A 16,992-nucleotide genomic window follows, 5' to 3' on the forward strand; every position below is an offset into this window, starting at 1 on the left:
CAGCCTGGGCAACATGGTGAAACTCTGTCTCTGCTAAAAACACAAAATTAGCTGGGCATGGTGGTGGACACCTGTAATCCCAGCTACTTGGGAGGCTGACGCAGGAGAATTGCTTGAATCCGGGAGGTGGAGGTGGCAGTGAGCCGAGATCACACCATTGCATTCCAGCCTGGGTGACAAGACCAAAATGCCATCTCAAAAAAAAAAAAAAATCGAATGTAGGTGGAATTAATAAAAATTTAAATAAACTAACAGATTAAACCTTTCATTGTTCAGGAAGGAACAGAACAATTTTTGATAACTTGTGAAATATCTGGCACAGAAATTATTTAGAGCCACTAAATAATTTCAAATTACCTAAAAATCCTAGTGATTTATTTTCTATTTTAAGATGAAGTCTACTTTAAACTTCTAAAATGCAGGGTTATTTAAACTGGCATCTAAATCCAAGCTGGTTTTGGTTGGTAATTCCTCTAGGACATTTTACTAAATCTTGATCTTATCTAAATGATGCTATGTCATAGATGGACTGTTTATTTGTTTTGTTTGTAATCCAGGGAAATTTAAAAAAAAAAAACAAGTAGAAATAAAGGCTTTTAAAGAATTTTTAGAGTTAGAAATGTTTTCAAAATTAGGTTCTTTAAACCATTAGCCATCTCTTCCTTCTGAACTCTTCTTTTTTCTGCCCTTTGGTAGCTATGAAATAATCTGCATTCCAGAAACTTCTTTTTTCCCAGTCCTTTTTCATGTCTTAACAGTGCCATGCATGATTATCTACACCATGGAAACCCATCTTAATGAAATGGAAAGATCTGCTGTTTAAAAAAACAAACAACCAATCACCCATGCCTCCTACAGTCCTGTTAGGCCAAAGGTCTGCTCTCCACCTGGTCAGCTGCTGAGGAGGGGGCAGGTACCTGTACCACAGTTTAGCCACAACAGAAATATCGTTGGGCTACCAAAAGATGTCAGTCCTTAAAAATGTTGGCAAGCAAAGAAATTTTTCTCTAAGCACATCTTAGAGATACTTTAGTCTAAAGGCACAGTTGATCAGATTAAAGAAGCTAAGATTACATTTTGGGGCTGGTCTAATCGATAAATATCTATCAGTGGCCATAAAGTTTTATTTCAGTGTTTTCTGGTGTAAAGGGATTAATTTTATGTACTCAAGTCTATGGAGTTTGTTTTCTTCCACCTTTAATCACCTCACTCGGCTTGCTGGTGTGCAGTGCTCATGCAAAACTTCCTAAGGGAGTGCCCCACTTGTTTTAATTTACTTCCTCTAGCAAAAACACAGCTAGAGGAAACACAAATCGTTTAAAAAAGAAAGAAAAAAACAAAATAAACTGTCTCATTTCATTCAGAAGATTTCTGTTCATCCTACTTTTAAGTCAAAGGGTAGTGTTAAGTTTTGATTTGCAACAAACTCAGATTATCCATTAACCCACGCTTGCAGGCTTTCTACTCCCTTTCAGATGTACGTCTATTTTTTTAAAGGGCCCAGGCTTTTTGAGTTTACCTTTCAAAAAAGTATGTTTAGGCAGAATGGTCTTCTAGAGTTATGGAATAGCTTTTCAAATGTTGGATGGATATTTTCTTAGAATTACTCCAAAATGCAGTAAATGAGAAGCAACAAGCTGAAGCTGCCAGTCTCTGGTATGAATAGCAGTGAGTAAAAGTGCTTTGAACTTAGTGTCCGTATTGGAAAGCAGGAAGTTGAAAGAATCAGTTTGAATTCCATAATTGCTGTAAATATTATGTAGCATTTATTATCCCATTTTTTGATGTACCATGTAAATGTAAAACATACAGGTCCCCTCCCTCCCCTGAAGAGTTTATTCTCCTAGACATAAAATGAGTGTACATGCCTAGCCATTGTCCACCCCTTTCCAGTTCGATGATGTGTATCTGATGAGGAAGGACAGAGATGAGAGAATCAAAATCATTATAAACGAATACAGATGATGACTGGGTGACTGAAATCTTATCTCCCAAAGAGCATAGTTAACTGCAGCAGCAGTGGATGATAACTACTGGGTGGGGGTAGAGGGGTTGTTTTGCTCAGTTCTGCCTAGAAGACAGTTGTAGTTATTTTAGTCCCACAGTCTCTACTCCTCCCTGGGCCTGTTTTTGCCCTGCTTTCCTGGCCTCTGTATACGGCCTTTGTTAGCACTTTGTAGTTGTCAGTCAGCTGTTACTCCAAGTCCTCTGTCAGAAATAAAGTTACTTTTGTTTGAAGAGTCTCCAGTAATCCCCCTTCTTTTTAAACTATGACTCCCCAAAGATATATAGTCTAACTTGTGTGCACCAGTATTTTATCATATTTATTTAATAAATTCCATACACCTTACATAAAAGATATTAAACAAAAAGTACTCACCCCCTTAAAAGGAGGAAGATAATGACCATCAAGGCATGGCCAAATTACACAGTCTTAGGAAACAGTACAGTAGGTAATTATTGGACCTTTTTGATTAATGGCATCCTTGCTTTGCAGGTGTGTACCACCACTGCACTTCACAGGTTTCTGTAAATAAAGTGATTTGGGGTTCCCTTCTGTTGAGCATTCTTCTATCGTGAAACCATTTGGTGATGAGAAGCTTGAGTTTCTAATGCATGTTCGTTGGCTTTATTGGAGCTGCTTTTGTACTGTGGCCACCCATTTAACTTCCTCTGTGGTTGATATATGAGAGCTAGAGGACTCTGCCTTAGCTTCTTCATCAGAACACCATGTGATGTCTCCAAATGTCTTACACTGTGGCTCCCCTGTAAGAGAGGTGGAGAGGAGAGAGGCCAAGGCTGAGGCCATTCCAGTGAGATGATCACTTTCTTAGGCTACTGCCTGAGACCTCTCAAACAGGATCTGTCTGTGGGCTCTAGTGAGGGGAAAGTAACCGGCCTTCAGTTGGCTGGTCAGAAACAGTTACCCACGGCCGGGTGTGGTGGCTCATGCCTGTAATTCCAGCACTTTGGGAGGTCAAGGGTGGAGGATTGCTTAAGCCCAGCAGTTTGAGACCAGCCTGGGCAACATAACAGGACCATGTCACTACAAAAATGATTTAAAAATTAGCTGGATGTGGTGGCATGTACCTGTGGTCCCAGGTACTCGGGAGGCTGAGGTAGGAGGATTGTTTAAGCCCAGGAGGTCGAGGCTGCAGTGAGCTGTGATTGCGCCAGTGCACTCAAGCCTGGGCAACAGAGTGAAACTCTGTCTCAAGAAGAAAAAATGTTTCAGGCACAGTCAGTGTTGAAGATGTCAATTAGCAAGGTTTTTTTAATCCCCTGGAAGTGTGCAACCCAGGATTAAACAGATGTTTAAGAACATAAATAAAAGATGAATTCCTGGCCGAGCGCGGTGGCTCACACCTGTAATCCCAGCACCTTGGGAGGCTGAGGCAAGTGGATCATGAGGTCAGGAGTTCGAGACCAGCCTGACCAACATGGTGAAACCCCGTCTCTACTAAAGATACAAAAATAAGCCGGGCGTGGTGGCGGGCACCTGTAATCCCAGCTACTCAGGAGGCTGAGGCAGGGGAATTGCTTGAATCCGGGAGGCGGAGGTTGCAGTGAGCTGAGATCATGCCACTGCACTCCAGCCTGGGTGACAGAGTGAGACTCCATCAAAAAAAAAAAAAAAAAAAAAAAAAAAAAAAAAAAAAGATGAATTCCTGACACTTAATACATTTAGATAAAGTCTAACTTATCTTTAAAGTTAACTTTAAACAACTGCTCTACAGCATAATATTATCCCCTGTGTAGACAGTGACCTCTAGTATAAGCTTTAAATTGGTTTAAAAAATAGATTAAGTATGAAAACATCTCTTCAACATTTTCATATCTCTACAACTCTTTATTAGAAATATCCATTTTGTCCTATATTCACTTTCTGCTGAACTAAAGTGCATGCCAGTCTCCAGAGGATGACAGATGGGCAGAAATTTATAAAACAGCAGCAGTCATGGACAGCCTAGGCCACAAGTAGAACATACCAGACCTCCTGGGTACTACTGTCTCAGTGAGAAAGGATCCAGAGATCCAGCATCACCAGATTCCCTCACATACTGACCAAAGAAACTTTTTTAGTTTGCAGATTTTGGTGGGAATAGGGAGGAGTATTAGAAGCTGAAGTTCTTGCTTTATTTAAATAATCATGGCAGTAACAAAATTCGGTTAAATAATGCCCCTTCTAGGCCAGGCGTGGTGGCTCATGCACTTTAGGAAGCCGAAGCAGGCAGATCACTTGAGGTCAGGAGTTTTGAGACCAGTCTGGCCAACTTGGTGAAACTTCATCTCTACTAAAAATACAAAAATTAGCTGGGCGTGGTGGTGCACACCTGTAATCCCAGCCACTCTGGAGGCTGAGGGAGGAGAATCGCTTGAACCAGGTAGGTGGAGGTTGCAGTGAGCTGAGATCACACCACTGCACTCCAGCCTGGGCGACAGCGAAACCCCATCTCAAATAAATAAATAAATAAATAAATAAATAAATAAAATAATGCCCCTTCTAGTTGAAAAACTAAGTTCCTACCTAAGCATAATTTGGATTTACCCAATTTATCTTCTTTCAAAATACCTCAAACATTTCACCTTATTATTCTTTTTAAGGATTACAAAGTAGAGCAGGGGGGAAATAATAAACCACTAATAAAGAATAATAGCCATTTGACAGACAGGTGTTCTTAGTTTCATAAAAAAAAAGATGCCTGGTAGATTCAGTCTTTTATGAATACTAAAGAATGCCTCTTATTTTTGTTTGTTGGAGACAGGTTCATTTTGAACCTAACCTGGTGTTCTCAGGGAACATAGGTTAGAGGGGAGAGATTTAGGAGTGAGGGCTCAAGCAAGAAGCATGTTAGAAGACTGCTGTAGTGGTCCCGGTGAGGAGTGAAAGGAATGGAACTAAAATACCATGAGGAATGTGGGCCAAAGGAAACAAGTCTGAGAGATTTAGAAAGTAAATCATCAGGATTCAGTGGTGACTCTTGGATTTGAAGAGGGAAAGGGAATAATCTAGGGTAGCTGTCAGTTTCTGCCATGGGTAGTTGGGCTAACAGTAGTGTATTAACTGAATTGGGGGGCAGGCAATTTGTGAGGGTGAGTTGAGTTCAGCACAGGGCCTGTTGACTTTGAGGTGCCTTTGAAACAGGAGTGGATATGTCTAATTTTACATGAAGTGTCTACTTAAGAGAATGTGTAGAGACATTAACAGGGCTGGGTAGGAACACGGAATACCTCAGGTGCCAAATGAAAACTTTTGGCAATAACAAGAAGTTAGGAAGTTGAAGAGGGTAGAAGAGGCAGCAGAAATGTAGATGGATAAGAACATGTTGGCATGTTTAAGTGACATTGTGAATAAACCTGTCCTACTGGGCCAGATGGGATTAGGGCTGAGATCAAAGCAGGCCTAATGCAGTTTGCAGACGTGTTTTGTTAGACTTTTGTAGAGCTGGATCACACAGTGTCCTAAATTTAAATTAGGTGCCAACATTTCCACACAAAATCCGGATTTCTGACTTTTCTTTTAAACTAAAGGGCTCCTAGAGGTAGATTTGGCAACATTGGTAGACCTATATGATAATAATCGACTGAAGTATATGTCCTTTCTCTCCAATGAACCTGTTTTACTTATGTTATTTCGCTGAGCCCTTAGACATTTAAATTTTGTACTTTTTTTTTTTAATCCAGGCTTATAAGTCAGATGAATTTTCTACTTCTGAGTCAAAGATCAGTAGGTAATAAAGGTACAAAGATAGATTAGCAACAGATTACGGAGAGCTTTGAATACCAATCTAAGGAGTGTAAATGTAGGCAGTGGGCCACCTTTGAATAAGGAATTGATGAGATTAAAGCCATATTTAGGAGGATTATTCTGGACCAGTATGAAAACACAGAAGTTAGGGAAAACAGTTAATAGTTTTGAAAGAGAAGAGAAAAAGGAGATGGTGTTGGGATACATAAATGGGCTTTTAAAATGCAAAATGAGAAGTGTTTTAAAGAGATATCACCCAGAAAGTCTATGCACTGCCACATGGGCACTATATGGGTGGTTGTATTTGGTGGGAAATTTGCTTGCAGACTTCCAGAACTCAGACCAATGTGTGGTGTGGGGGACGGTGATTGTCAGGCATTATGGAAAGGTCAAACAAAATATGCTCACTGGCTATCTATGGCCCACAGGTCACTGTAGTCTCTGTTATAAGTACACTAAGTGGAGGAGAAAGGTCCTTTAAAAAAAAGAAAGCTAAAATTAATACCTGATTGTTATTAACTGTGTGCCAAACACTGTTCTAAGCTCTTTACACAGACATTTTATTTAATCCTCGCAACCAATTTCTGAAGTAGGTACTTTTCCAATTTCCATTTTACAGACAAAGAAACTGAAACCCTAGAGGTTAAGAAGTTATCCAAAGCCACAAGGCTGATAAGAACAGAACCAGGACTTGAACGCAAGCAGTCTGCCTCTCCAGAGGTTTATCTTTTAACTGCTATGTTAAACTGCCCCTGCATTTTAATCTGTTCTAATGCTACACAGATAGGCAACTTTACAGGTAGAGGACCTTATGCTTTATTCTGGATGCTCTGTTATAACTCGTTTCAGGGGTGTCAATTTGGTCCAGGTCCTCCTGGAAGAAATAAAACTCCAGAATTGACCCTTGAACTGTCTCTTAGGGAGCAGATAATGTAACGGGTCCTTGGGTGACCTTGAGAGAACAGGTATGTTCAAATGTCTGTTCTCTTCCTTTAGCTAATGGATCAGTGTAGCTTATAATTGCATGCTTCTAACCCTTTGTTGAAAAATAAAAACTCTTATAAACATGCTTTTTTTTTTTTTTGGAGACGGAGTCTTGCTCTGTCGCCCAGGCTGGAGTGCAGTTGTGCAATCAGCTCACTGCAACCTCTGCCTCCCGGGTTCAAGCTATTCTCCTGCCTCAGCCTCCCGAGTAGCTGGGATTACAGGCATGCGTCACCACGCCTGGCTAATTTTTATATTTTTAGTAGAGATGAGGTTTCACCACGTTGGCCAGGCTGGTCTCGAACTCCTGGCCTCAGGTGATCCACCCACCTCGACCTCCCAAAATGCTGGGATTACAGGCGTGAGCCACCATGCCCGGCCTTAAAAATGCTTTTAAAAATGAAAACTAAAACATGTTAATTTTTTTCAAATGTTTTCATGAAAATTATCACAGGACAAGTTTCATAAATATTGAAATTTGGAAAAAGTTGCAAGCCCATAACATTGCAGAGAAGCAAATGCATTTGATGCAAAGCCTCAAATTTGTCAAGTTTTTCTACCATATTCAGTGTGGTTTCTTTCTCTTTGGCCTATAGATGAAACATGTAAATGAAAGATTTCAAGATGAAAAAAATAAAGAGGTTGTTCTCATGTGCATTGGCGTCACTTCAGGAGTTGGACGACTGCTCTTTGGCCGGATTGCAGATTATGTGCCTGGTGTGAAGAAGGTTTATCTACAGGTACTTTTTTACACCTTTTTTCCCCTATCAAAAATTACTCTCATCACCCGATGTCTCATTAAATGTACTTACATGCTTAAATTCTTTTTTTTTCTTTCCTTTTTCTTTTTGAGATGGAGTTTCGCTCTTATTGCCCAGGCTGGAGTGCAATGGCACGATCTCAGCTCTCTGCAACCTCCACCTCCCGGGTTCAAGGGATTCTCCTGCCTTAGCCTCCCAGGTAGCTGGGATTACAGGCGTGTGCCACCACACCAGGCTAATTTTTGTATTTTTTTAGTAGAGATGGGGTTTCTCCATGTTGGTCAGGCTGGTCTTGAACTCCTGACCTCAGGTGATCTGCCCGCCTCGGCCTCCCAAAGTGGCTTAAATTCTTCTATAAAAATGAGAAATATTTTCTACAACATAACTTCTATAGGCAGTTTTTCAAGGACAAAATTAGTTATTAGTTTGGGTTTTAAACATGAGAAATTGGCAATGAAACAACAATTTCTTTGTTTTGTCGTGGAACTCCACCAAACCAGAATGGTTTTCATCCATTGCTTTTTCTATGAAGAATGTTTTTTGGTGTAGTTCTCATAGTCATGTGCAGATCCTGTGCCCTTTGCATGTCTTATGAAATTTGGTTGTGTGTGTGACTTTTCAGCTTCTTTACTGCAAATTGCCTCCTCGTGTTTTGGGGTGAGCATAAACAAATGCTAATTCCAAGATCATTGCTGACAATCAACAGAACAGGTATTGAAGTGACTCCTTCATGCCACACACTCTGCTAAATGCTGAAGACTTAAGTGAAACATGGTCTGTGCCCTCACCTAGTAGCTAATGGTCTCATGGGAGAAGATAAAGCAGTGTTGCAGCACAGTGGAATAACGGGTTTGCTAGATGAGTGCCATAGCAACACAGGCACCATGCATCTGAGTCACTAGTGAAGGGCTGAGCAGAGTTAAGAGGTGAGGACCAAGTGTGTAGATAAGGGAGACAGAGAAGCATGCTCCGAGCAGAGACAAACACATGGGAAACACCTCCCACACTGTGGAGGTGTGACATGGGATGTTATATCTGGGAAACAAATGTTTGAATGGAATAAAGGGAGAATAGTGGATGGATTGGTTGGGGGGATGGACAGGAAGCAGCTTGGGAAGGGCGGTTATGTACATGAGCTCTATCCTGCAATCTACTAGGAGCTATTAAAGGATTTTAAGCCAGAGAGTGACATAAATTGGGGTGGCGGGGGTTGGTGTTTTTTGGTTTTTTGAGGCAAGGTGTCACTCCGTTTCCCAGGCTGGAGTACAGTGGTGCCATCACAGCTCACTGCAGCCTCAACATCCCGGGCTCAAGCAATCCTCCCACCTCAAACTCCTGAGTAGATGGGACTACAGGTGCGTGCCACCATGCCTGGCTAATTTTTGTTTTTTTGTTTTTTTTCTGTAGTAACAGGGTTTCGCTGTGTTGCCCAGGCTGGTCTCGAACTCCTGGACTCCAACGATCCACCCATTTCAGCCTCCCAAAGTGCTGGGATTACAGGTGTGAGCCATGCCCAGCCTGAGTTGTGTTTTATAAAGATCAATTTCGGCTGTGCGTGGTGGCTCATGCCTGTAATCCCAGCACTTTGGGAGGCTGAGGCAGGTAGATCACCTGAGGCCAAGAGTTTGAGATTAGACATGGTGAAACCCCGTCTCTACTAAAAATACAAAAATTATCCAGGCATGGTGGCACATTCCTGTAATCCCAGCTACTCAGCAGGCTGAAGCAGGAGAATCACTTGAACCTGAGAGGCAGAGGTTACAGTGAGCTGAGATTGTGCCACTGCACTCCAGCCTGGGTGACAGAGCAAGACTCCATCTCAGAGAAAAAAAAAAAATCAATCTGGTAACTGTGAAGAGTGGAATGGAGTGGAGGAGGGGACAAGAGTTGAGATAGTCACAAAAGGCCACATACTGAATGATTCCATTTATATGAAGTGTCCAGAATAGGAATCTCTGTCTCTTTCCATAGAGAAAGAAGGTAGATTTGTGGTTGTAGGGGCTAGGGAAAGGAGGGAATGGGGAGTAACTGCTACTGTGTTTCTTTGTGGGGTAATGAAAATGTTATAAAATTAGATAGTGATGAAACTCACTGAATTGTGCACTTTAAGTGGGTGAATTTCATAGAATATGAATTATATCTCAATAAAGCTATTTTTAAAAAGGCCAGGCATGGCAGCTCATGCCCATAATATCAACACTTTAGGAGGCTGAAGCAGGAGGATCACTTGAGGCCAGTTCGAGACAATCCTGGAACCATAGTGAGACCTCATCTCTACCAAAAAAAAAAAATTGTTTTAAGTTAGCCAGGCACGGTGGCACATGCCTATAGTCTTAGCTATGCAGGAGGCTGAGGTGGGAGGACTTTGAGCCTAGGACTTTGAGATTACAGGGGAGTATGGTCATGCCACTGTACTCCAGCCTAGGTGACAGAGTGACACCATGTCTCTAAAATTTAGAGAAAAAGAGTAGAGGTCCAGGGACTAGTTGGAAACTATATTAAAGTAGTCTAGGCATCTAGGCAGGAAGAACCAAGGCAGAGATACTGAGATCAAATGGAATAAGCTAGGGACATAGAGAATGAGAATTTGATGAAGCCACTTAGGCTGGATCTGAGATTTGTGGCTCAGGTAATGGAGTAGATGATTTTGCCATCTTATCAAGATCAATATGCAGTAGATCTAAGTATGATGATGAATTGGGGTTTTTTAAATTAAAAAAAAATTTTCACCCAACCTACCTGCCCTTGCCCCAGTGATGAGTTTGTTTTTGCCATGTTGTTTGTGATGCCTGTAGGAAAGCCAAGTAGTGTTTAGAGCTCATGGAAGAGTCTGGATAAGAGGCCTGTGGGTTAAGAGGCCTGTGGGTTAGGAAGCCTGTGGGTTTGGCATTCATGGGCTGCATGAAGTAAGTGGAGGACTAAGGAGATGGAAAGGGAGTGGCCAGATAGGCAGGGGGAAAACAGGGATGAGAGTGTTTCTAGGGGCAGGAGTGGTCAGCAGTGTCAGTAGCTAGTGACAAAGAGGCTGAAAGGTTTTCATTGAATTTAGAATAGGGAGGCTATGAGTGAGCTTACAGAGAATGGTTTCTACAGGTGCAGAAAATTGATCATGATCATTTGAACAAATGGAAATATAGACAACTTTGTCCAAATGCTTGGCTGTGGAAGGAAGGTAAAGGCAAGCCACAAGGGGGGGTCTTAGGTTTTGAGGATTAAGCCTGTCTAATTATATTATACATGAGAGGCAGTATTTGAGCAGGGCCTTGAAAAAGAGGTGAAATTTGGACACAGGAAAATGATTGGAAAAGGCATTACAGATAAAGTTAACTTCCATTAATTGACTTGAAGTAATAACAGTCAACCATTTATTGAGGACTTTCATGTGCCAGACAATGAACTAAGGGCTCTACATGCATTATCTCATTGATCCTTGCCCCAGCCCTTTAAGAGAGGAGGTACCATTGTTATTTCCACTTAGAGATGTGAACACTGAGGAACTGAGAGGCTACCTCACTGTGGGTGTCTGTGTGTATAGAGGTCCAGGCAGTCACAGGACAGTCTGGTCACACAGCTAGAAGGAAGTGAAGAGAGTTGGTAATGTGCTGCTTTTAAAAATGTATTTATTGTATCATGATCACTTTGTCAGTACTTCACTGTGGACATCCTCATCTAACATTTAGTTTTGTTCTCTAGTGTCAAGGGAGCCCTCTAATGGACATTTATTGCACTACAGACTTTCAGCTTTCATACATTCAAAAATTGAGTGCCTCCTGTGCCCCAAGCACCAGCTCAGATGCTGTTAGGGTGATGCAAACAAGACAGACATGGTCCCTGAGTTCCTAAAGCAAGCCTGAGGCAGGAAGAAGCCGAATGTGTGTGGAAACCCAAGAAGATGGGGAAAGTGGCATGGGAAGGGACTGGAAAGTTAGAGTGGGTCAGATTAGACAGAGCCTTGAAAGCCAGGATGAAGAGACTTTGCTTTAAGAGTAGTGGATTTTGGCCGGGCGCAGTGGTTCACGCCTGTAACCCCAGCACTTTGAGAGGCCAAGGCTGGCGGATCACGAGGTCAGGAGATCGAAACACAGTGAAACCCCATCTCTACTATAATTACAAAAAATTAGCCAGGCTTGGTGGCACGCGTCTGTAGTCCCAGCTACTGGGGAGGCTGAGGCAGGAGAGTCGCTTGAATCTGGGAGGCAGAGGTTGCAGTGAGCCGAGATCGCACTACTGCACTCCAGCCTGGGTGACAGAGTGAGACTCCGTCTCAAAAAAAAAAAAAAAAAGTAGTGGACCTTTGTTGGAGGACGTAGGTCTGATTTTGTTTTTAAAGTCACTGTGGTTGTTCTGTGTTTGGAGGATGGATTACAGGGAGGGAAACAAGAGTGCAAGAGGGGAGGAAGACCTGTTAGGAGATCAATTCAGGGTCCAGGTGAGAGATGATGGACTATGGTGCTGTAATAGATAAAGTCATGATATATTTTATATATCAGCATTTTATTCCAAAACAATGTTTGAACGTCCTCCTACCCTAGATAGGGCAGACAGATTATCTGCAACATTTTTGGAGCACATTTTAATACCTGACTGTTTCCAGTAATTTACAAAAGAAAATATAGCCTTTCCTAACTTGTCCCATGTTGGTCTGCAGTTACACAGCAGTAAGTTAAAAGTTAGTATTGGGGGTCAAATATTTCACTTTAGATGAAAGTTTAGCCACAATCTGGCTTCTGTTAGGCCTTATCTAATTTTTGCATCCAAATGTAGAGCATCGTTTGTGGCACCCAGTAGCACATGCTGAGTCACAGGTGTGACAGCTGCATTTCAAACAAGCCTGAGAAGGAGAAAGAAAGCCCTTCAGTGTGTCCTGTGGTTGCGAGGAGCCACTCACGGACTCCACCTTGTGAACACAGCGGCACAGGACGCAACACAGGCCTAACCCATGCAGGATGCTGGACTCGTTCCCTTATTCACTACCTCCTCTCTCTCCTTTTTCATGGCTTCCTTGCCCCAACATCCCAAACACACAGTGTGGTTTTTGATTCTTGGCTCTTCTCTGCTGCAGTTGACTCCAGCTCTGCCTGTTTGTTCCTTCCTTTTTCTCCATCCCTGGCTCTCTGCCTTTTGGCCCATCCTTTAAGGCTTGGAATGCTCCTGGGCTTACCTTCTTTCCATTCATTGGTGGTGTGTTTTCTCAGACATACCTGCTCCCTGCTTTCATCTTTCAACTTCTTGGGGCTGTGACAACTCTTCCCTCTTTGTCCCCTGGAAGCCAGTTCTGAGTAGCAGCCAGGCCTAGAACACTGGTGACACAGACACACTTCATAGCCCTCCCGCATGGTCTAGTTTCAGATCATGGTAATCCCTAGTCTAGGAGGCTGCCGAGCCCAAGAGCACAGGCTCTGGAGTGAGAAGCCAGTTCACCCCAGTTCTACCACCAACTTGAGAATCAGCAGAGGGCTGTGGTGAGGATTCTTGGTGGCAGGTTATGTAAAGTGCCTAGCCCAGACTGGATGATTAATAAATCCTTGCATCTGTTATGTTTTAATATCTTATTAAATACTGAAAGCAGATCCTGATTTGGAATAGGTCTCAAGAAAGGAGACTAGGGTCTAATCCTGAATTAGAGTCTTTGCTTATAGGTAACAAAGAATTTATGAATTTATCTCACATTTTTGCTTAAGAGTTCTGAATTTAAACTTCCATCAAGGTCCTGGGTCCCAGGTGTTTTCAACCTAATAATTCTAAATATTGAGTGGTTGGTTGCAGTAGCTTATGCCTATAATCCCAGCGCTTTGGGAGGCCAAGGCAGAAGGATCCCTTGACCCCAGGAATGCAAGACCAGCCTGGGCAACATAGTGAGACCTCATCTCTACAAAAAATTAAAAAGTTAGCTGGACATGGTGGCCTACACCTGTAGTCCCAGCTACTTGGGAGATTGAGATGGGAAGATTGCTTGAGCTGGGGAGGTTGAGGCTGCAGTGAGCTGTGATCATGCCACTGCATACCAGTCTGGGTGGCAGAGTAAGACTTTGTCTCAAAAAAATAAAAAAATAAAAAAAAATGCTGAGTCAAGTCTACTGCTCCTGCCAGAAGAGATGACTGAAGTGCATTACGTAGAATAATAATGGTTAAAGAAAAGCTTTGCAAAAGTTCCCAGAATATATACTTTATTGGGACAGGAGAAGCTACGTGTGTCGTGGTATCTTTTTACTATTTTCTTAATCTTATAGGCCTGTGTTTCTAGTCACCATTAAATTACTACAGATTTGTGTTTTTAATGTAATATATAAGTGTTTTGGAAGGGTGAGAATATTTCAAAGGTTTGAAAGTTAAAACTGTGTATGAAAGAATTGAAAACTTGGAATTTAGATCACTTTTCCATTGTGTCATATTTCTCTGTGACATGGACATATTGAAGCATGGACATCATGTCCATGCACATAAAGCAGACAACCCAGACAACACACACATGTGCACAGGAACGCTCTGGAAGGATGCAAACCGAACTGTTAAGTGTTGATTCCTGAGGAGGTGAATGGGCATGGGTTGAGAGTGAGAAGAGGTTGTAGGAAGACTTTCATATATTACTGTGTACATTTCTCTAAGGTTTGAATTTTAAAAAATATATTCATGAGTTACTTTTGTAATGTAGAAATATTAATGACTTTCCTATCCATCAGTCTGCCTAAGCTTCCTCTTCCGGTTCAGGTAGAATGAATTGGATCAGTGTTGCTCCATTTTCCATTTTAGCATTTTACATTTGCCTAAAGATATCTTGGGATGAGGGTATATACTTTATCAAATGTAAGCTATTTCCAAAGTAGTAAATCCAAATACTTAACAACTTCCCAGCCTAAGTAAATGATCAGAGGCTCCGTACTCAGTCTCATCTAGACTGTGGCACTGGGTGTGAACGTATCAAATGCATGTTTCTCCATCAGGCAGAAGTGAGAGTAACCATGTGCCATGGAGAAGGTTGACAGACTCCCTGTGAAGCACTTCGAAGTGACACTGGCCTCTGTGTGCTTCAGAAGAATCCAGCCACCTGCTGTGTGGCCTGACATTTTCCTTTAGTTTGTGATGGGCCAGCAGAACTCTGTTGCCAACTGTTTTCTGTCCTGGGTGCCTAGCCAGAGGTTCTGAAAGTCTGGAGACTTTATATGGGCTAAACTTTAGGAACGTCAATTACATGTCTATCTCCAAGATGCCTTCTTTTATTCAGGTGCAGCTCATTGTTTCCTCTTGAGCTACACTTAAGATTCTTGAGCAAAACCTAAACTGACATTTCTCCAGCAATGCTCTCCTTGAGATAGAAATGGGAAAAGTAAGAGCAAAAGGAATCTTTTGTTCTCATGTGCATACACTAACTCATAGAAGGTTAATACTTCTATAGCCTGTACTATTATAACAAGTATTATATATTTATGATATATTTCCTTAAAGAAAACAAAAGCAATATAGACATCTAAACTGTCACTGGCTTATTAAGTGTCAGTGCCAGAGCCTAGGAGAAAATAAGGAGCCTGTGAATTCCTTACTCGAATCTAACCAGAGCTGCTGTGTTTGAGAGCAAGTTTTAAAAGATTGTATGTAATACTAAGTTTATTCATCTTTCACACTGAGTCCCAGCATCACCAGATCAGTATTTGATGCCTGGATCAATCTTTATTCTGGGGAGTGATGAAGCATTGAACCTGCTATATGTATAGTTTGCCGAGCGTCGGCATGTGCTCCTTGTGGCCCAGGCATCCCTGCATATAAGGAATAGGTACGTTCTCACGAGCCTCACCTACTTACCTCCACATTTAGCCAGATTCTGGGTATTAACATCTGCTGGGAAAGAGCATCACTACAGTAGCTACAAATAAGGTGGAAGAAGCAAAGTATTTTTCTGAGAAGTACTTAAAGAATAGATGTGTAAATTTCTATAAACACAAGTCTTAAAGGAAAATGAAAAAATTTTACATTTAAATAACTACATAAATCATTGCCTAATTTTAATAAGAATATAACTTAATATAGCTTGAATGGAGAAAAGGACAACTTGCAGTCAGGGAAAGTATTAAGAAATAATATGCTCAGTCTGGGCGCGGTGGCTCATGCCTGTAATCCCAGCACTTTGGGAGGCCGAGGCAGGCAGATCACGAGGTCAAGAGATCAAGACCATCCTGGCTAACACAGTGAAGCCCCATCTCTACTAAAAATACAAAAAAGTAGCCAGGCGTGGTAGTGGGCGCCTATAGTCCCAGCTACTCGGGAGGCTGAGGCAGGAAAATGTTGTGAACCTGGGAGGCAGATCTTGCAGTGAGTCGAGATCGCGCCACTGCACTCCAGCCTGGGTGACAGAGCAAGACTCCATCTCAAAAAAATAAAAAAAATAAAAAAAAGAAATATTATGCTCAAAATATATAGCAATAAGTTGGAAACTTTTACTTGAATAATTTTTACAAAACTGACCAAAGAACAAAAACGTGAAGAGGCCAAGTTCCAAGACTCATGTTATGTAAATTGTTCTAAAACAACATTAGCACTTAACAAAGTTGAAAAGTTAACAAAGCCAAGTACTGTACTAGGCTTCCAACACTAACTAAGTATAAAATTCCACAGAGCTGGTTTTCTTATCTTTAAAGAAATTTGTTGGCAAGTGGTACTGGTGTTAAAAAAAAAAAAAAAAAAGGAAATATGTACTGACCAAAATAGAAAAAAAATATGAAGCACATTAAAAGAAAAAAATATATATTCCTGAAAACCTTGTATAATTACAGTGGCATGGTTGGGAATGTTTGGTCTATAGTTTTAACAATTAAATCCATTGAATCTGGCCCCGTACCATCCTAAAGTTTTATTCTAGATTCTCTGGAGTTTGTGATTATAGATATGTTTCTAAGATTTAAGTAACTTTCCATGTTTATCTCCTTTTATGTTTGTACATAGAATAAAAATGTTTCTATTGTTAAGAATATTAGAGTTGGACGCAGTGGCTCACGCCTATAATCCCAGCACTTTGGGAGGCCAAAGCAAGTAGTTTGTTTGAGCCCGGGAGTTCAAGAATGGCCTGGGCAACATAGTAAGACCCCATCTCTACAAAAAATAAAAAATTAGCCGGGCATAGTGGCATGTCCCAGCTACTTGGGAGACTAAAGTGGGAGGATCACTTTGAGCCCAGGAGGTTGAGGCTGCAGTGAGCTATGATCGCACCACTGCATTCCAGCCTGGGCAACAAAGTGAGACCTGTTTCAAAAATAAAAAATTGGGGTTTATCTACTTAGATTTTCAATAAAAATTACTACTTAAATCTTTACCTGCTTGTTAATTTCAAACCCTTTTCTACATTTTGATTTATCTTTAAATCTCTTTTTGTCTCAATAAATGGGAAGTATCAGGAAGTCTTTTTACTTGCTCAAGGTCATAGAGAGCTTAGAACCTGGTAGTGTCCCTCTGAGCCCCAGTTCTTTCCAACCTGCCAGGCTGTAGGCCCAACAATTACTCACCACTAAG

The 16,992-nt window shown here is 41.5% G+C and overlaps 1 protein-coding gene across 2 annotated transcripts in view; it reads left to right on the top strand.

Annotated features, from left to right (window-relative positions):
* The window catches only part of SLC16A10 (solute carrier family 16 member 10), a 143,692-nt gene that overhangs the window by 111,760 nt on the left and 14,940 nt on the right, over positions 1 to 16,992 (top strand). The window contains exon 4 of one of the 2 annotated variants that reach the window (NM_018593.5): positions 7,330 to 7,473. In NM_018593.5, the coding sequence (NP_061063.2) occupies positions 7,330 to 7,473 (144 nt within the window). Of the gene's footprint in view, positions 1 to 7,329; positions 7,474 to 16,992 lie in introns of those variants that run through there. The other variant, XM_047418167.1, reaches the window with a different exon arrangement.

The sequence above is a fragment of the Homo sapiens genome, chromosome 6 (genome assembly GCF_000001405.40).
Source record: "Homo sapiens chromosome 6, GRCh38.p14 Primary Assembly".
NCBI classification, from domain to species: domain Eukaryota; kingdom Metazoa; phylum Chordata; class Mammalia; order Primates; family Hominidae; genus Homo; species Homo sapiens.